This window comes from Homo sapiens, chromosome 1 (assembly GCF_000001405.40).
Source record: "Homo sapiens chromosome 1, GRCh38.p14 Primary Assembly".
Classification (NCBI taxonomy): Eukaryota; Metazoa; Chordata; class Mammalia; order Primates; family Hominidae; genus Homo; species Homo sapiens.
The window spans coordinates 4,985,431-5,005,434 of NC_000001.11; the positions used below are offsets into that span (position 1 = coordinate 4,985,431).

The window sequence follows — 20,004 nt, forward strand, 5'->3', positions numbered from 1 at the left end:
ACAGACACCCAAGGAACTGGGCCTGCCCTGAAATACCTCTTTCTCCAAGTAGCCACCCTCTGCCCACACACTGGTCTGGCTGAGATCCATAAAGCTCACTTTGGTTCCTTCTGGTCTCACAAATCCCTTCCATGGTCTTCCTGTGGCTCTCAGAGTCTCCCCCACCCCACCATCCACCCCCACATCCTCTGTTCTCCAACTGATTGAAAGCTGTTTGATGGCAGAGGCAACTCTGACATTGCTTTGTGCCACTTTTCCTGCTGAATACTTAATAGACATTAAAAAAATATGTTGCGTGAATCCTATATGCTTGAAAAAAACAATACCTCAATGTGTTAAAAATCCCCGTGTTTCCTGAATGTTATCTTAGGATACTGTGCTGAAGAAGAAGGCTGAATGGATATCCATGATGCAGCTGTTACATAGAACCTGGACAGGGGCTTGGTCACAAACCCGACGGGAGGCTATGTCAGTTGTCTCTGAGTCAGCTGCAAGTTAGGGAGACCATTTATTAACAGACAGTCCTAGTCTCCCTCTCCTAACTTTTTTTTTCTTTGAGATGTAGTTTCACTCTTGTTGCCCAGGCTGGAGTGCAATGGCATGATCTCAGCTCACCGCAACCTCCACCTCCCGGGTTCAAGTGATTCTCCTGCCTCAGCCTCCCAAGTAGCTGGGATTACAGGCATGTGCCACCATGCCTGGCTAATTTTGTATTTTTAGTAGAGACGGGGTTTCTCCACGTTGGTCAGTCTCTTCTCGAACTCCCGATCTCAGGTGATCCACCCGCCTTGGCCTCCCGAAGTGCTGGGATTACAGGTTTGAGCCACCACGCCTGGCCTCCCTCTCCTAACTTTTGCTGCCCGGGAAGATGGTAGCACTCAGGGCTGATGCCTAGAGACAGCCATGGATTCTAAAGAGGCAAAAACAACTCATTGTCTCACTTCTAAAACCATGATTTCCCTCCTCCCCTTCCTTCGCTCAGCCCGGCTTGCATCTCAGTACAAGGCCATTTTTCATGGCCTCGACAAGAGATCTTATCAGGCACATAATGAGTCAGCAGAGGTTACCTTGAGCAGGGACCACAGACCACCGGTTGTATATCTTCATTTTAAAACTGTAGCCACAGATGCCTGCTGTACTGAGAATGTGATTCTCTCCCTAGGACCCACAAGAAGAAGGATGCTAATGATGTTCCAAGTGTTGACGGTTCTCTGGCCCCAGGAGACAGCCTGGAAGGTAGGACCATTTGCTTGAGTTCAGGGAACCAGGAATGGGGCAGCTTTCCTAAATAGATGCAGCTGTGTCTTCTACCAGATGTGGAATTGTCATGTTGTTTTTTTTGTTTCGTTTTGTTTTACCTCCTTCATTTCAGGGACCTCAGGCTATAATTAATTCTTGAACATAGCAATAAATCAAAGCTTTGAAAATTACAGAAAACTCCCTCCCCATCCCCCACAGACACACGGCTGTGCCACCTGCTTTAATGCTCTCTTCTGGTATTGTGTCATATCTAACCACCCGAAACTCGGGCAGACATTCCAGGAATTAGTTCTGAGACTAAATCCGTGTTCCACTCTATAGAATTTGGAGTTAAAAAATAAAAATCAAACTGGAAATAGCATCCCTTACCCAGTCTGGGCCATCTCATTTTTTTTACTGGATGCAGACATCCCTAGATGCTGAGAATCCTCGTCAAGAACGACTCTTCACCGCCAAAGTCAACCACTTCACTCTCAGCAACGGCTGTCATTTCCATGTTTAAGATGCACACTTTGCCTATAGAAGCATTCACAACATAGTCTCTCCTCCACTGTAGTATCCCGCAAATGGGCCTCTGTAATTGATGAGAAATAAAAATAATATAAAAAAGCAGGAGATGGCAATACAGAAAACCTTCTGTGTGCAAGCCATGGGTGAAAAAATAGAACAGCCACTGGGCTAATCCGTGCCCTTTCAAGTTGCTATTTCTTTTGTTTTCTCGCCTGCGTCCCCCCAGTCCTCCCAGATTCAAATCTCTAGCCTCCGCGGTATCAAGCGGAGGAACAAATATACTTAGTTCTCTTAATGAGCTTCTTCCTCTGCATTCATTTTGGAGAAAAAGCTCCAGCCGAGAAGGATGGCAAAGGGAAACAGAACATTCCGGGACTGACTGAACCAGAGACAACTATTTGGCAATAAGCTTGAAAGACTCTTGATCTCTTTCCTACTTGCCTTCCAGCCTTCCCTTCCTCTAAAAGATCTGGAAGCGCTGAGGGCAATGGGTGCAAGTCAGATGAGGATGACTTTTAAGGGAAGTTGTCTTCATTTCAGACACTGAGGTTTGAATCCTGGTGCCTCCGTCTAAAAGCTGTGGTGTGATGTAGGCCTCAGTTCTGTGGGCCTCAGTTTCTTCATCTGTAAAATGGGCTTCATAAGAGAATCTCTCTCAAAGACATTCTGTGTGTGTGTGTGCATGTGTGTGTGTGTGTGTGTGTGTGTGTGTGTGAAAATAACACATGTAAATCACTTTGGATCTGTACTTTCACTATTTAAAAACTACTGTAAACCCAGTGTGGGGTTGGAAGCTCTAAGACATACTACCCTGCCAGACACCCTCCCTCCTAACCCTGATTGTCAGGGTCACCTGAAATAGCAGAGCAAGAGATAGCATGACAGATCTCTCGTACCTGCCGGGTTGGACACCTGGGAGTCTCCCAAGTGTCAGTGAAGGAAGGGAAGCGACAGTCACGAGGTCCAGATTTGCACTTCACATGTATCTTCTCATCTGATCCTCACAGCTACCTGGGGGCGAGCAGTGGATCCCGAGCTGCAACACTAGCCTCACGCTTAGGGCCCCACAGCAGGTACATAACACTCTAAGCAATAGAGGATCCAGGGAACCTGTATTACAGAAATGTGGGTGACCATCAAGAAACACTTTCAGGAAGAGGCAGGGACCTGATTTGATGTAGTTGGAGAAAGTATTTCTCACTCTCTGTTAAGCTGGGCCTATCACTGGGAGCCGTGGGGGACTCACTCTTGATATTCTGAAGCAGCTCAAGAAGTTAATGGAGACAAAGCTATCTGGAGAAAAGTATGTCCCCTAAATGCATACAAGGTAACAGAAACCACTTGGGAGGTTTTCAGTCTGCCGTTGTCTCCGAAAAACGATCCACAATCTTTGCACGTCGTGAACATACACTTCAAGAGTATGAATGGTGCTGGAAGGGCTTTGAACTCAAGCAGTTGTGGCCCCACATCCCACCTTTGCTGTGCACCTGCTGTGGGGCCCTGAACCTGAGGCTCCCTTGGCAGCTGGGGACCCACCTGCTAGCCCTCAGGTAGTCATGAGACTCAGGTAAAAGGATGCATGCGAAGCTCATATCTGGCCCCCCTGACTGTCGCTTCCCTTCCTTCAGTGACAGCTGTTCGGAGACTCTCTCGTGTGTCCAACATTGCAGGTAAGAGAGATCCTTGATGCTACCTCCCCATTACCAACACGACATAATGCAATTAGTTTTCAGCTTGCTTTGAATGCATTTCATGATTACAGGACTTCTTCAAACAATGTACCTGTAATGAGTGAATGTTCCACAAGCATGCATCTCTGCTCAGGTGTAAATATTTCCAAGGCAGCTGCATGGAATGGAAGTTTGATGGTGTCGTAGACTGAGATGCTTACTCCACATTCATTCACTCCACAGACTTCATTAAGAACCCAGGATATGCCAAGACTTCTCTCCCAGGTACTGAAGCTGCAGGAGCAGATAAAGCAGGCATCATGGTGTTCTGGGGATGATGCCCCCAAGGGAAGCCAGTTCCTGATCCTACTGCATGCCTGCCTTTGCTATTGATGGGATTCAAGACATGCTACCCCCAGATATGCACCTTGGCATTTGAGAAAATGGCAGAAACACAAGGTCATTCTCCTCTTCCCCTCTGCCTTTCTCCCCTGAAGCAGATCATAAAACCTAGGAAGGATTTTCCTGAACTTCCCCTGATGCAGGTCGTAAGATCCTCATGTGAGAGGTACCCTTGCTTCCCAGAAGGAAAAGAACAGTCTTATCTCTGGAAACACAGGGACACATAGAAGAATCTGGACAAACAGGCCTGGCTAAGCATCTCCAGCTCATCACCATTAATCATACCCCCTTTAGTCACACTTCACAAAGACCTGCTTCTTCATTCAAGCTTAAAACACAATGGTATACCCATTTCTTTTGGTCTTCGTTTCCTTACGGGAGTTTCCATGGTCACATAAACCTTTTATTAAATAAACTTGCATAGTTTATTCTTATCTTTTGTTATAGGGGCCTCAGTCATGAATTTTGCAATGAGTGAAGAAAAGATATTTTCCCTCCCCTACACCACTGGATACGCTTGGCAACTGCTTACTCCCTCCACCCCCTCGAATCTGACTTCCACCCCTCCGTGTCCTCTAGGCTATGTCAGTTGAAGCTGCCAATGACCTTCTTGACTTAAATCCAAAGCACATCTCTTGGACGTCCTCATACCTCACCTTTCTGTATTTACCATGTTGAGCCATCGCCTTCTTCTTGAACTGGTGCCCTCCCTTGGCTTTGGGCTGCCATGCCCCCTGCTGTGCACTCTCTTATTCAGATGAAGAATCTCAGGCCTTCTGTCTCTCTCTCTCTCTCTCTCCTCCCTTAGCCACCTACATTCACACTCATGGCTTCAGTCAACACTGCACACAGACACCTCTGGAACCTGTATCTCCAGCTCCCATGTCCTCTCTGAGCTCCTAAACCATACGGCTCATGGCCTGCTTGGTTGGATGTCTTCAAAACACCACAATGTCAAAAAGTTATAACCCTTCAGTTTTTCAAGGCACAGCCAGTCTTATATATTTGGATAAATGGCCTACCATGCACCGAGTAAATAAGCCAGAAATCTAGGACTCACTCTTGCCAACTCTCCTCGTCTTCATCTAGCACTCCCAATACCTCACTAATCTTCCCAGTTATATCTCTGGACATCCATCCTACTCACAGAGCTTTTTCTGGCTCCAGTGCCTCCACCCTGAAAGCCACTGAACTTTGTGCCAGTGCCTCTTCCCTAATGCCCTTCACTCACTCTCGTCCCCTCCAAGCTATACTTTTTACTATTTTCTTTTTAAGAATAATTTTATAATCATTGCCCAGATCAAGAAGTAAACCTTGGCCAGAGTCTTAGAGAGAGTCTGTGACTGTTTCACGCTTCTTCCCAATACATCCCCCATCCCTTCTCCTTACAGATCTTCTCTGTCCTGACCTCTTTTTGATAACAATTGTCTTGCTTTTATTTATTGCCTTGCCACCTACGCATGTATCCCTGAACAACAGAGCTGGGGCTGTGCCTGCTATTGATCTTTATATAAAAGGAATTAGGCTGCCTGTGTTCTTTGTGACATACTTCTTTGGCTTATCACATACTTCCGAGATTCATCTGTGGTGACGTGTATAGCTGCAACTTACTTATTTCCATTTCAAGTGTCCCACAATTTATGTAATCCATAAATACAGCTCATAGACGTTTGGTAGTCTATCTGTAGCTTGCAGTTCTGAAAATTCCCTGTTCTTGTCCTCTGTATAAAACACAGGCTCTCCTCCAACACGAAATGGGTATGCCTCAACCCCTCCTATTGCCAGATCTTTAAGCTTTTACCACTCTGATGTGTACATATTGATATTTCATTGTGGTGTTAATTTGTATTTTCCCAATTAGTAATGAGGTTGAGTACCTTTATTTATGTGTATTGACCAATTGCATTTCATCTTCCTGGGCATGCCTGCGTATTATATTTAGCGACTTCGAGGGCACTAATTCTGTTGGGTTTCTCATCTCCTCCATGGTGATTAATAAATGTTCTTCCTGTCATCTGCACATTGGTCTTCTATTGATTATATTTGATCTCTTCCTCCACTACGTGACCTGTCTTTCCACTCACTCTGAGGTGTCTTTTGGTAAGCCTTCATAACTTTAATGTAATCAAATGTATTGATCCTTCATTTTATAGTTAGTGCTTTTGGCACCTTGTTAAAAAAATCCTTTCTTACTCTTTATAATAATTCTCGATTTATAGTATGACAAATTATTCTACCTTGTTCTTCAATTGCTTTATCTGTTTGATCCTCCCCTGAGGTTATTGGTTTTTATATGTTGCTCTCTCTCTATGTCTATGTCAACACAACACTACCTTAATTATTTTAGTATTATGGTGGTAGATTGTTGGAGTCGCAGCCCCCAGTGAATCACACCAGTATTCACTTGTGTATTTTCCTCTCACACTGTGATTTATTTTGGCCAATGGAATACCAGCAAATGTAATACAGAGTGTGTCTGCACTTATCATCTTGAATGCTGTTTGGAGGTGGCCACAGTGTGAAGAAATCTGGCTGGAAAGACCACATGTGGAGAGTGGCAAGGTCATCTCAGCCATGGCAGCCAAATCCAGCTCAGCCCCTCCAAATGCAGCAGTGAGGCCAAGCAGGAAAACTCACAGAGTGAAAAAGAGTTGTCATTGTTTGGGGTATTTCATCACCCAGCAAAAGATGCCTGAAACAGCAGCCATAGCTATTCTTGGGTCTTTGTGCTTCCATCTGATCCATAGCCTCCTCCCCAGCCCACACCCCTCCATCTAGGTTCCAGCCACTGATGTCCCGGCCAGAGTCTCTCGCTGGTGTCTCTGTGCCCACTTGCTCCATCCATTCTGCCATCTTTTAAAATTCAAAGTATAGAAAAATACACACAGAAATGTAACAAACCTCTTTGTACTCAACATCTTTATAAAATATCATTGGTTATTTCAATGCAGATTGTTTAAAATATGAAAGAAATAATATGTATGTTTTAAAATTCCCTTTGAGCCCTTCTGCAACATCACATTCTTCCTTCTTCTTCATAGGAAGAGCACTCCAGAATTAACGATTATTAAATTATCTGCACGCATCTTTCTGTCAAAGTTTTTATTTATTTACTACATACACACAAACGCATGGGTGCACACAAATGGAATGTTAACCACGAAACCTTGTTAGTATTGTTATGTGTGAATTTTTGTTTGCATAAGTGTGACAGTTCTAGACATGTAATTCTGTTACACCTTTTTTCAACTGAACCTCATTTTTTAAACACTATATAGGCTGATTCACAGAAAACAAAATCAATTATCTAATGGCTGAATAGCATTTTTAATCGGATTATACCATAATTTATTTATACATTTCTCAGTTGATGAACGCTGGTAATTTCACTGTTTCCCTTGTTCTGACGATGCTGCAGAGGACACCTTCATGTACATTAGCTGGGATATAAGAACAAGAGTTTCTGGTCTAGGTTATAAACAGCAGGATTTCTGGGTTTTAGCGTTAACCTCAGCCTTACTAACCAATGCCAAATGCCCTCTGAAACATGATGTATCGAGTCACATACCTACCTGCTGTACACGAGTTCTCGTCTTTCACCTTTGCCAACACTTGATATTTATACACATTTACATAGTTTATTTTATAAAAAGAACTTCCCCTGAGGTTATTTTAGAAAGGGCCTGTGAATATAAAATCTCTAGGTTTTTATATATCTGAAATACATGCGTGGGTGTTTTTATTTAGCTTTCAACCTTGAGTCATAACGGAGTCCAGTATAGAATTCTAGGTCAATGTTTACTTCCCCCCAGCCCTTTGAGATGCCTCTTCAAGGTCTTAAGACATGTACTGTGCTCTCATTCTCATTGTTCTTCCATCAGAGATGCTTTTCTTTCTAGAAATATTTTAAATGCCTTCTCTCCTTTGGAATGTTCTGCATTTTATTACACGGTTTCTCGATTTAGATTTATTTTTATAGTTCGTGCCTTCAGCGTTTGGAATTTTGCATTATCTCTTTCTCAGAATTCTTTTAAAATGTCAGTCTTCATTATTAGTCTTTATTATCTCTTCAAGTTTCCATCTCTTTATCTCTGTGTACAACATTTAGGCTGATTTCCTTGGTTCTTTCACTTCCTTAATATTCTCTTCAGCTCTATCTAGCTTCTTCTTCAATCTTCTTCAATCTATTATTAAATCAAAATTTTCCCCTCATAATTTTCTCTTCTAGAATTTATCTTTGGTCACTTTAAAAATCTACCTAATCCCCTTTCATACTTTCTGATCTCCACCAACAGTCTGCTTTTCCTCCTTCATGTCTTATCTTTTTGTTCCATTATCTATTGTTGATATGTTGTAGTTGATTCAATATTTCTTCACATCTGAAGCAGGATTCCACACTTCAAATTGTTCCACCATATTTTCTAGAAACCCATTCCTACAACTCATTCTTCACCCAGCAGCAAAAGTGATCTATTAAAAATGGAGATCCATCTAGATTCTTCACGTGGAGAGTTTTACCAAATGTTTAAAAATGAACATTATTTCACCCTATGTCTTTCAGAAAATAGAAGAGAAGGGAACACTTTTCAACTCATTTTATGAAGTGAGGGTTATATTGTTATTGAAACCCAGAAAAAGACAATAACAAAAAATCCAACAACAACTATAACCTAATATCGCTTATGAATATAGGTTAAAAAAACCTTAACAAACTATTGATAAATAGAATTCAGCAACACAAAAAATAAATTATGATCAAATGGGGCTTATTCCAAGAATGAAAGGATGGCCCAATATTTGAAAATTAACCAATGTAACCTATCCCATTCACAGGTTAAAGAAGAAAAATTGCATGGTTATATCAATCAATGCAGAAAATGTTTTTACAAAATCCAACACCCATTCATAATATAAATTCTTAGAAAAATGACATGGGAACATCCTCAACTTGACAAAAAAGATCTACAAAAAAACCTATAACAAACATGAGACTTAGTGGTAAGAAACTGGATACTTTCTTCCTTAGAATGAGAATAAGAAAGGATGTCTGATCTCTTTTTCAATATAGTAATGAAAGTTCTAGCCAGGTAAATAAGACACATAAAGAAAATTGAAGACACAAAGATTGAAAAGGAAAAACTGTCCCTGTTTGCAGGTGGCATAAGAAAATCCCAAAGAATCTACAAGAGAACTAATAAGTTCAGCAAGGTTGCAAGATATTAGATAAACATATAAACATCAATTGTATTTTTATATGTCCACAATGAACATAGGACACCAAAATTTAAAATGCAATATGATTCATAATCACTTAAAATAAAATATGTAGGTGTAACTCTTACAAAACATGTACAAGATTTGTATGCTGAAAATGACAAAATCTTGAAGACAGAAATGGAAGCTCTAAATATATGGAAAGACATACAGTATTCATAGATTTAAAAACTCACATAGTAAATATGTTAATTTTCCCTTAATTGAGATACAGTTTTAGCACAAATTGTATCAAAGTATCAGCAAATATTTTTGTAGATATAGATGAGATTATTCTAAATGTTATAAAGGACCTAGAATCACTAAAAAACAATTTTGAAAAAGAAGATCTATCCAATTTAGAGACATTATATAGCTATGGTAATCTAGAATGGATGATCTTGGCAGATGGACAGGCTTATAGATAATGGAACAGAACAGAGAACCCAAAAATAGATTTACACAAATATTCTCAATTGATTTTTGACTAAGGTGCAAAAGTAAGTCAATGGAAGAAAGATAGACTTTTCAACCAATGGTGCTTGTTGTGGATTGAATGGTGCCTTCCAAAAAAGATATGTTGAAGTTCTAGCCCCTGGTACCCCAAATGAGACCTTATTTGGAAAGAGGATACTTACAGAGGTAATTAAGTTAAAATAAGGTCATTAGCATGGACCCTAATCCAATATGACTGATGTTCTTACAAGAAGGGAAAATTTGGACAGAGACAGGCATAAACCAAGGAAATATGAAGGAAAGACAGGAAGAACTCCATGTAAAAGTCAAGAAAGAGGTTGGAATGATGCATGTACACGACAAGGAATGAGAAGTATTGCCACCAAACCACCAGAAGATAAGAGAGAAGCATGGAACAGACTCCTCCAGTCTCAGAAGGAACCAACCCTGCTGACCTTGAACTTGGACTTCTGGTCTTCAGAGCTGTGAGCTACTAAATTCCTGTTGTTTAAGGCACCTAGTTTTTGATGCTTTGTACAGCAGCCCTGGCAAACTGATACAGTGCTGGAGTGAGTGAGTGTTCATATTCAATAAAATAAACCTCAAACTAAGGCTCACCCCTTATACAAAAATTCACCAAAAATGGACTATGGAACTAAATATAAAATATAAAACTAGAAAACTTTTAGAAAAAACAATGGAAAAAATCTTCTGGATCTAAGGTAGACAAAGATTTCCTAGACTTGGCACCAAAAGCATGATCTATAAATGGAAACATAAATTTGGCTTCATCAAACTTAAAATCTTTTGCCCTGTGAAGACAAGAGCCTGTTAAGAGGATAAAAATGCAAGCTATAGACTGGCAGAAAATATCTGCAAACCACATATCTGACAAAGGATTATTATCTAGAATATATAAACAAAACTTTCCAAATTCAACAATAGGAAAAAAAAAACAATCCAATTAGAAAGTGAGTTAATGACATAAAGGGACATTTCACCAAAGAAAATAAACAACTGTCAACACATGTTCAACATCATTAACTTCTGGAGGAATGCAAATTAAAATCACAATGAAGTAACATTGCATGCCTATCAGAATGGCTACAAGAAAAAACAGTGACAATACCAAATGCTGGTGAGGATGCTCTCACACTGCTGGTCAGAATTTAAAATGATACACCCAATCTGGAAAACGGTTTGGGATTTTTCTGCAAAATTCATGCATTTTCTTTTTTTTTTTCTTTCTTTCTTTCTTTCTTTCTTTCTTTCTTTCTTTCTTTCTTTCTTTTCTTTCTTTCTTTCTCTCTCTCTCTTTCTTTCCTTCTCTCTTTCTTTCTTTCCTTCTTTCTTTCTTTCTTTCTTTTCTTCTTCTTTTTTTTTTAAATGGAGTTTCGCTCTTGTTGCCCAGGCTGGAGTGCAGTGACGTGATCTCAGCTCACTGAAACCTCTGCCTCCCGGGTTCAAGCAATTCTCTGGCCTCAGCCTCCCAAGTAGCTGGGATTACAGGCAGATGCTACAATGCCTAGCTAATTTTTGCATTTTTAGTAGAGACAGGGTTTCACCATGTTGGTCAAGGCTGGTTTTGAACTCCTGACTTCAGGTGATCTGCCCGCCTCAGCCTCCCAACGTGCTGGGATTACAGGTGTGAGCCACCATGCCCAGCCCATGCATTTTCTTGAAAAAAATAAAAATAAAATAAATAAATAAATAAACTGCCATCCAATCCACCAATTGCACTTCTCGGCCTTGATCCTAGAGAAATGACCACTGTCACACAAAAACCAACACGCAAATGTTTGTTGCAACTTTCTTCCCAATAGCTCCAAACTGGAACCAGCTCAGATGTCCTTCAGCAGGTGAGTGGTTAAACAAACTGCGGTGTGTTCACACCAAGGAATGCCACTCAGCAAAAGTCTGAGCAGACTCTTGAAATACTCCGCAACCTGGTTGAATCTCCAAAGAATTGTGCTGATGGAGAAAGCCAGTGCGCAAAGGTTACTTACTCTATAATTCCACTCATATAACATTCCTGAAATTACAACATTATAGAAATGGAGAACAGAGTCATGCTTGCCAGGGGTTGAGGAGGAGTTGGGGACCGGAAGGAAGTGGGTAGGTTGTGAAGGGGAACAATGAAGGATCCTTGTGGTGATGGAAATGCTTCATATTTTGACGATATCGATGCCAATATCGTAGTTATAATATGGTGCTGTAATCTTGCTGTATGTTACAGCTGGTGAAAACATGGGATGTCTTTGTATTAATTCTTTCTTTAAAATTTTATTTTACTTTTTTTGTGAGACAGATTCTCGCTCTGTCACCCAGCCTGGAGTGCAGTGGTGTGATCTCGGCTTGCTGCAACCTCCACCTCCCAGGTTCAAGTGATTCTCCTGCCTCAGCCTCCAGAGTAGCTGAAATTACAGGTGCCCACCACCATGCCCAGCTAATTTTCTGTATTTTTAGTAGAGACAGGTTTTCATCATGTTGGGCAGGCTGGTCTTGAACTCCTGACCTCAGGTGATCTGCCCACCTTGGCCTCCCAAAGTACTAGCATTACAGGCGTGAACCATCGTGCCAGGCTGTACTAATTCTTACATCTACATATGAACCTTTAATTGTTTCAAGATAAAAAATGCTTAATTCAAAAACTCAGATCCAATGATTATTCTCCATTGTGCAAGATTTCTTATGGGCTTCCTACTTCCCCTGGAAAGAAGATCAGCATTCTTATCATGGTGGAGGACCCCCTGTGACCTTGTCCCTATCACCTGCCACCCCTGCAACCCTCTTCTTCCTATGGCTGCCAGGGTTCCTGGCCTGTTGACCTTCTGCCCCTTCCACCCTCAAATTTGCCACACTTTCCTGCTTCATGGCTCACAAATCCTCTCCACTTTCTGAAATCTCACAGTGTGTAACACACTAGACTATGTATTCATAATGAGGATTCTAGAACTACAAGGGCCCACAAGCAACTGCTGCATACCAGGTCCTATTCTTTTTAGTAGAGACAGAGAAAGCAGCTGTAAGCAACAAGGCTGAAGTCTCTGCTGCTCCACAACCTACCTGCCAGTTTGGTCACAGGTATCTCCCAAGATACACAATCACCTGGAGTGGAAGCTTCAGGACAACAGGGCTGGGTATGTTTGCCGATCTGCACATAGTCCATGTATTAGTGTGTTTTCATGCTGCTGATAAAGACATACCCAAGACTGCGTAATTTATAAAGGAAAGAGGTTTAATGGACTCCCAGTTCCATATGGCTGGGGAGGCCTCACAATCATGGCAGAAGAGCAAGGGACATCTTACATGGTGGCAGGCAAGAGATAATGAGAGCCCAGCAAAAGGGGAAACCCCTTATAAAAACATCAGATCTCGTGAGACTTATTCACCACCATGAGAACAATATGGGGGAAACTGCCCCCATGATTCAATCACCCCCTACCGGGTCCCTCCCACAACATGTGAGAATTATAGGAACTACAATTCAGGATGAGATTTGGGTGGTGAGGGGACACAGCTAAACCATATCAGTAGGTCTGTGATCAATACTTGTTAAGAGAATCAATACATCAGTACATTCAGACTTATGCCTGTGCTTCATCCTTTTTAGGAACCTGCGTGTTTCAGATAAGATACCTCTTGGATACCTCTTGATTCACTCTTCTTCCTGCCACTGTGGTGAGGATCATTGAGTCTTTGACCAGCTTTATGCAGGTACAACCTGACAGCACCTGACTTCAGGCCCACAGAACACCTCGAACTTCCATCCCCAGCGTTCACTGAAGCCCACTGGGATGGGGGATCCCTCTGCAAACCTGTCCTGTGACCTCATGTCATAAGGGACCTATCACAAGTTAACACCCCACGTGCTATTTGTGACTAATGGAGAAGAGGTTGTTGAATACTTCCTCCTTCAACTCTGAGCAGGGGGTTCTAAGAGATACCTCATGAGGCTTCTCAGAAGGTTCTACCTGGTTAGGATTGCCAGATAAAATACAGGTTACCCAGATAAATTTAATTATAAGAAAAATAACAAATGTTTTACTTTATAAATATATCCAAAACATTGCATGAAATATACTTATACTAAAAATTGTATTTGTTGTTTATCCAAAATTCAAAGTTAACTGGGCATCCTGTATTTTTATCTACTAAATCTAGCAACTAGCTGTTCCCAGTAGTGGTGGTGGGGTGGGGGGACGTCTACAAGGTGCCCTTGTCTTGGCTCTCCCTACTTCCCCGTCTTTCCTCCCTGTTCCAATCTCCCTTTCCCCAGAATCACAAATGAATTACTACCACTTACATCTTAGTCTCTGGTCAAGACAGTCTCTTAGGGTTTTCAAAAAAAGGAATATTTTTTAAAAAGTCAAGCAATCCAAAAATTAAGAAAACTCTCTTTAACCCAAATATACAGCTGTTCCTTAGTGTTTCCATTGATCTGGGTCACTACAGTCTAAGTTAGGGCAAGCACCCCACCTCCACTTCCCAACTGAGCTCAATCAATTTCCTTCTGAATCTTTTTACGCCTTTTGAAGTCTGAAGGGATATTTACTAAGAGGACTAGTACTTAAGTATACCCTTTTAAAAAGTCATTTGACCTGGTTAAGTCACCTGTGCCCTACTTTGGCAAAATGTTTTTGAAGTCTTCAGCTCAATGGCAATAAACCTTTCTTTTCAACATGTTGTGAAAAGCCCCGTGGAAGAGAAGGTAGGTAAGGCATCATCCTGCTATTCAGCTAGTTTCAGCTTCAAGAACTTTCCTTATTAGTGATAGACTGATGTGTAGTTACATAATGTGCCAATTACTCAAAGGCTTCATTCAGAGAAACAAATTCATCCACAGACACTCTCCTGGGAGAAAAGCCAGCTCTCAAACATCTGTTTTCAGATAAGGAACTTGCAACGCTTTTGTCGGGGAGGTGGGAGCGTTGTTAGAGGGGTATTTTTCCCCAAACTATAAGGTAAGACAGGGGTGGAGAAGCAATTAGAGCTTTTAATAAGGAAGAGAACGGTTAATCTTTGGTGTCTGTGTGTGTGCGCGCGCACGTGCATGTGTGTGAGTTGTCATTGTTTTTGTTTGTTTTGTATTCCTCAGAAATAGAAAGCTCCCATTAGGCCCAAAGCAAAAGCCATTTCTTCTTTATATTCATCATTTTGGGCGAGAATATTCTGTTTCGACAGATTGGCCGTGTTGTACCCATCCTGCTGGAGTGTCAGGTGGGACTCACAAAATTAATTCCGTTTAATTGACAGTGAGTTTTGAAAGGTTGTGTGGCTCCCTCCTAGCATGGACTGCTTACTTTCGAGTCTAGTCTTCATCCTAAAGACCCTAGAACATCACCAAGTGGAATGGGGAAACAGGGTGGCAGATGCTGGCTGCATCAGAGTCTCCTCTTTATGGGGTGATGACGATGCCCTCCTCCCCTCACCCTTGGTGCCAACCCACACCCCTGGGTCAAACTCTCTGATGGGGGATCACATGACTCTGCATCCAGATGACCCCTTGGGAGGACTTTGTGTCTTTTACAATTTGCTAATTACCTGGTCAAAGGATAGAGACCCCCCCGCCCCGCCCCGCCTATTTCTTTCCTCTCTTCCTTGAGAGTCACAGTGGCTGGATTGTCTCATTTCCCCACACGTCATGACCTCTGCTCCTCTTGTCTTACTACCTTTGTGTGAAAAGGCATGAAAGGGTTTCAGGTGGCTCCTGCCCTCATAATTCCATCCTTGATTCCATCCCAGGTCAGGGCACACTTCCTTGGCACGAATAAAGGTGGTGCTGCCTCTATTTGGGTGCGTCACTCTGCCCTCTGCTCGTCTGCCTGTAGCTTTCTGTGTCACCTATCAAGGCTGCAGGCAAAGTTCAAGCTGGAGGATTAAGCCCATGAGCATGTTCTTAGCACTGTGTGCGTCGGAAGCTTTTGCATCACCGCAGCTGTTACTTTTTATATCTTCGTTGCCCGAGTCTTTGGGTACCACTGACAGGCGAGTCACCAGGTGTGCCTCTAAGTAGCAAAATTAGGAATCATTCAATGCTCTGATGGTGCCAATTAGCTTCCCAGTATGAGCGCCAAGATTTTTTCTAATTAAGGCAGGAACAGTTTCTCCGTCTATAATAATCTCATTTAAAGTGTGTCCAAAACACTTAACATGCTTTGTTTAGGAACATCATCCCTATGCATTTTTTAACTATGTAAAAATAGATAGATCTCTGAGATGCTGAGTCTCCAGCTGGTTGTTCACCAGACACGTACACAGACTGGTGCAGGATTGTGTTTTGCAAGACAAATGGGACTGTTTAAATTGAGTTTTAAGGCAGAGGACATGACTTCCAGGATTCTTGCACATCTGCACACTAAAGATCTGCTCATATCTTTGAAAAGTGACTCATGCTTTAAACATAAAGGAAACAAAGATGTCCTCTTGACAAGCAAAGTAGGTCTCTTAGCCTCCAGGTCCCTAACTCCCATCTACTGTGGAAGCAAAGATTCAAGTTTGACAAAATGCAAAACTAAACCAAAGGATTCGTGAATGCCCAGAAAAATGGAGAAGCAGCAACTAAGGCTATTCTTGAATCTCATTTTAAGCAGAGATCAGTGCAAATACCTCTCACTGGACTGTAAGCCGTAAGAGAGAAGGGACTGGGTGGGTTGTAGTCACAGGTTTATCTTCAGCACCTAGGACAGCGCCTGGACCACGGTGGATACTGGATCAATAGATGTTGAACCAGACTTTTTAAACAAAATTTTGACCCCCACCCACCACCCCCAGCAACCCAGTAAAAAACAAATGGCTTTCTCTTGCACCCAGTGAGACTCCCTGCACAAAGAGTTCTGCTCACGTTTCTGACTTCTCTCTGTGTTAAAGTTGGCAGAGCTAGAGCCCTTTAGAAGACATATAGGCTGTCTTGCAAACAATAATCATTTTTCAATTTCTATAAATGCAATCAAATCCAGGGTCTAATTTTATTATCCATTAATTCCACAGTTGCATGAATACCCTTTATGGAGGTTACCAAATCCAGCAAAGTCATCTTCCTACTAGAAAAAGACAGCATCTCCTCATCCTGCATTCACTACATGGTGGAACAATGGTGCGTTTGCTGCCATCATCCCATTATCTTACCACATCTACCCTGTTTCCAGCCAATCTATTGATTTAAACAATAGATCGTTTGAATCTATTATATAGGCTGGAGTGCAGTGGTGCAGTCAGCTCACTGCAGGCTCTAACTCCTGGGGTCAAGTGATCCTTCCACCTCAGCCTTCTTTGGTCAAGTAGTGAAAAGGACTAGTCTGACTGGAGTTCTCTCTTCATTTCCTTGCCTATTTGCTGATGGAGACAGGGTGCTCATGAGAGATCGGGGGAAGAAAAGCAAAGAACCTGGTGTTGCCTCTTTGGGGTGAGTTCTTTGGGAATTGAAACTGTCTGGAAAGCCATTCTTTGGAAGATGAAGCCAGTGCCCATGGAGGGACCAAGGCTTACTTTCCTTTGCACCTCAGAGTCAAAAACTGTGTTTGGTCTATAGCAGGTGCTTAGCAAGTGCTGGTTGAATGAATGAAGAGGCTCTGCCAATGGTATGCAGTTAGAAAGAGCATTGCCTCTTCTTCTGTTGTTTATAAATATTATATCAGTGAGAAAAGATGCAGCCCCAGGGAACAACAAAATGAGTTGGCATGGTAATAGAGCAGCCATTTTGGAAATCCAGTAGAGAAGCCAGAAGCCACTTGCTTGGGCAGTCAACATTGATGCCTGCAAGCTTCTGCCCTTTACAACTTGGAAGGCAAATATGAAAAACTCTGAGATTACAATAAAAATCTCATTGTAAATCACCACAGAGAACACTGACTGGAGGCAAAGATTTGACTTCCAGCTTCAAATGTGAGAGGCAGGATGGTGAATAGAAAAGGGAGGAAGGGCGCCCTTTGATCTGAAGGGGAGTGGAGCCCAGCAGGCTCTCTTATTCATAAGGAAACATTATCTCCTGATCCATATGTTCCATTTTCTATTTAGAGCAACTCTGCTGCAGCATGCAATGTGCAGCCCTAAGGGAGAGGTTGGCTTTCAGGCATCCGGCCAGTAGGCCTTCACCTCCTGGTTTATGGTATTCAACTGGAGCAGATCCAAAGTGACACAGGAAGGGCTCATGGGGTTCTCTGACCAATCCTCTGAGGTTGCAGGCTGAGCCACCAACAGGTCTCCTCACAGAACCTGGCCTAGTGAAACTGCCTGGCCCAAGTGTCCCTTCGAAAGAAAGTTCCCAGCCACTGCTTTTGTTTGTTTGTTTGTTTGTTTTTGAGATGAAGTCTTGCTCTGTTGCCCAGACTGGAATGCAATGGTGCAATTATAGCTCACTGCAGCCTCGAACTCCTGGGTTCAAGTGATCCTCCCACCTCAGCCTCCAGAGTAGCTGGGGCTACAGGTGCATGCCACTATGCCCAGCTACTTTGTTTTTATTTTTTGTAGACATGGGGCCTCACTATGTTGTCCAGGCTGGTCTTGAACTCCTGGCCTCAAGTGATCCTCCTGCCTCAGACTCCCAAACTGCTGGGATTACAGGCATGAGTCACCATGCCTGGACCCAGTCTCTGCTCTTAAATCCACTCCGTGGCTCCTTCTTTTCTCTCTTAAATTTGTTTTCTATTGCAGCATAATAAATTACTACAACGTAGTAACTTTTGACAATGCCTTTACTTTTATTTCAGTTTTTCTGAGTTGGGAGTTTGGAGGCTGAAACCAAGAGGTCAGCTGGGACTGTGGTCTCATCTGAGGCTTGACTGGGGGAGGATTCACTGCCAAGCTCTCATGGTGTTGGCAGCATGCAGCTCCCTGATGGCTGTCTGAGGGATGGCCCCCATTTCTGCTGGCTGTCAGCTCCTCAACCTGCAGCCCTCTCCAAATGAGAGCTCAAACAACAAGGCAGCTTGCTTCTTCAAATCCACCAAGGGATAGTCTTCTTAAGACACTGCAGACTCACTGTGTAAAAATTGTAAAAACACAAGGTAATATAATCATGTGCATTCCATCACCTTTGCCATATTCTGTTAGTTAAAGGCAGGTCACAGCTTCCACCCACCCTCAGGCGGTAGTGAATTCTACCAGGCCACGCACATCAGAAGATGGGATCACAGGGGCTACCTCAGAGGCTGCTGGCACTTCTGTTGACCTTCCACACTTTGACTTTAAATTCTCCCACAACTCCCAAATTTAAACACCAGCTTAGGCCAAACTCCAAAATCCCAGATTCACATATACAATGCCTAGTGGGTCTCTCCATAAGAAGATCTACAAATGAGATTGAACTCACATGTTCATAACTCAGTCCTGATTATCTGCCTCTGCCAAAGTCCTCCCCATCTTGTCTGATGGCAGCACCATCTGTACTAGTCTGTTTTCATGCTGCTGATAAAGACATACCTAGACTGAGTAATTTATAAAGAAAAAGAGGTTTAATGGACTCACGGTTCCATGTGGCTGGAGAGGCCTCACAATCATGGTGGAAGGCAAAAGGCATGTCTTACATGGCAGCAGGCAAGAGATAATGAGCAAAGCAAAAGGGGAAACCCCTTATAAAACCATCAGATCTCGTGGGACTTCTTCACTACCATGAGAATAGTATGGGGGAAATGGCCCTCAGGATTCAATTATCTCCCACCAGGTCCCTCCCACAACATGTGGGAATTATGGGAGCTACAATTCAAGATGAGATCTGGGTGGAGACGCAGCCAAACTGTATCATCATCTTTCTGGATTTTTCAGTGAAAACCATCTTTGACTCCTCTCTCTTATACCTTACAGTCAATCCATCAGTACACCCTGCTGACTCCACTGTGAAATTATATTCAGACCCCAAACACATCTCACCATCTGCTTCATTGCTCCATGCAGGCCAAGCCAGCACTGCCATGCTTCTTCTGGGCCTAGAGCCTCCTAATCCAATTAGGTCTCTATGCTTGTCTTCCTGGAGTCTCTTGTCAACAATTTAGACAGAGTGAGTTATTCTTTTTAAGGATTACCTTTAACTCAAAGCACTCCTGTGGTTCCTATTTCAATTGGAGTTCAGTTCAAAGCCCTCACTTTGGTCCATATATCCCTGTATGAAAGGGAACTGGCCATTTTTTTACCCCAATAATTACAATCCTTCCACGGCTCACCCTTCTCAAACCTCACTCACCTTCTTCCCACTCCTCACTCACCTTCTTCCCACTTCCCTTCCACACAAAATCATTGTAGGCCTCAGGGACTTTGTACTGGCTGCTCCCACTGAGTGTAATGCAAGCCTCACAGACATCCCAGGACGAACTTCTTCTCTTGCCCCGGTCTCTGCTCACACCTCCAATTCTCAGCAGAGACTTCTCTGACCTCATTCTACACAAGAGCCGCACGCACTCCAGTCTGGTACCTTGCAACTCTCCTATGTTTCTCCATAGAACTGACAGGACATATGTTT

General features: G+C 42.6%; 2 long non-coding RNA genes across 4 annotated transcripts, besides 2 other annotated features; one reads left to right on the top strand and one right to left on the bottom strand.

The window, feature by feature from the left end:
* Positions 122-1,321: an enhancer, noted in NCBI's record as "BRD4-independent group 4 enhancer chr1:5045612-5046811 (GRCh37/hg19 assembly coordinates)". NCBI's record gives its function as "activates an origin of replication core promoter dependent on BRD2, P300/CBP, MED14 and CDK7 cofactors, and independent of BRD4, by STARR-seq in HCT116 cells {active_cell/tissue: HCT116}" and the evidence as "EXISTENCE:reporter gene assay evidence [ECO:0000049][PMID:35650434]".
* On the bottom strand, positions 7,200-13,286 carry LOC124904589 (uncharacterized). The gene is made up of 3 exons (XR_007067025.1): positions 13,191-13,286; positions 12,618-12,742; positions 7,200-7,282 (listed from the first exon to the last, which is right to left on the bottom strand). It is a non-coding gene; the product is annotated as an uncharacterized LOC124904589 (long non-coding RNA).
* Positions 11,939-18,919, top strand: LOC102724429 (uncharacterized). Of its 3 annotated transcripts, none has more exons than XR_001737878.1 (5): positions 11,939-11,977; positions 13,165-13,268; positions 16,542-16,647; positions 16,900-16,956; positions 18,260-18,919. It is a non-coding gene; the product is annotated as an uncharacterized LOC102724429 (long non-coding RNA). The 3 variants fall into 3 exon arrangements; XR_946904.3 differs by lacking the exon at positions 11,939-11,977 and adding an exon at positions 12,416-12,691 and having other exon boundaries at positions 13,165-13,232; XR_426643.4 differs by lacking the exon at positions 11,939-11,977 and adding an exon at positions 12,419-12,691.
* Positions 16,126-16,326: a silencer, noted in NCBI's record as "peak22 fragment used in MPRA reporter construct". NCBI's record gives its function as "represses an SCP1 promoter by STARR-seq MPRAs in K562 erythroleukemia cells {active_cell/tissue: K562}" and the evidence as "EXISTENCE:reporter gene assay evidence [ECO:0000049][PMID:32103011]".
* Positions 18,920-20,004: the final 1,085 nt, after the last annotated feature.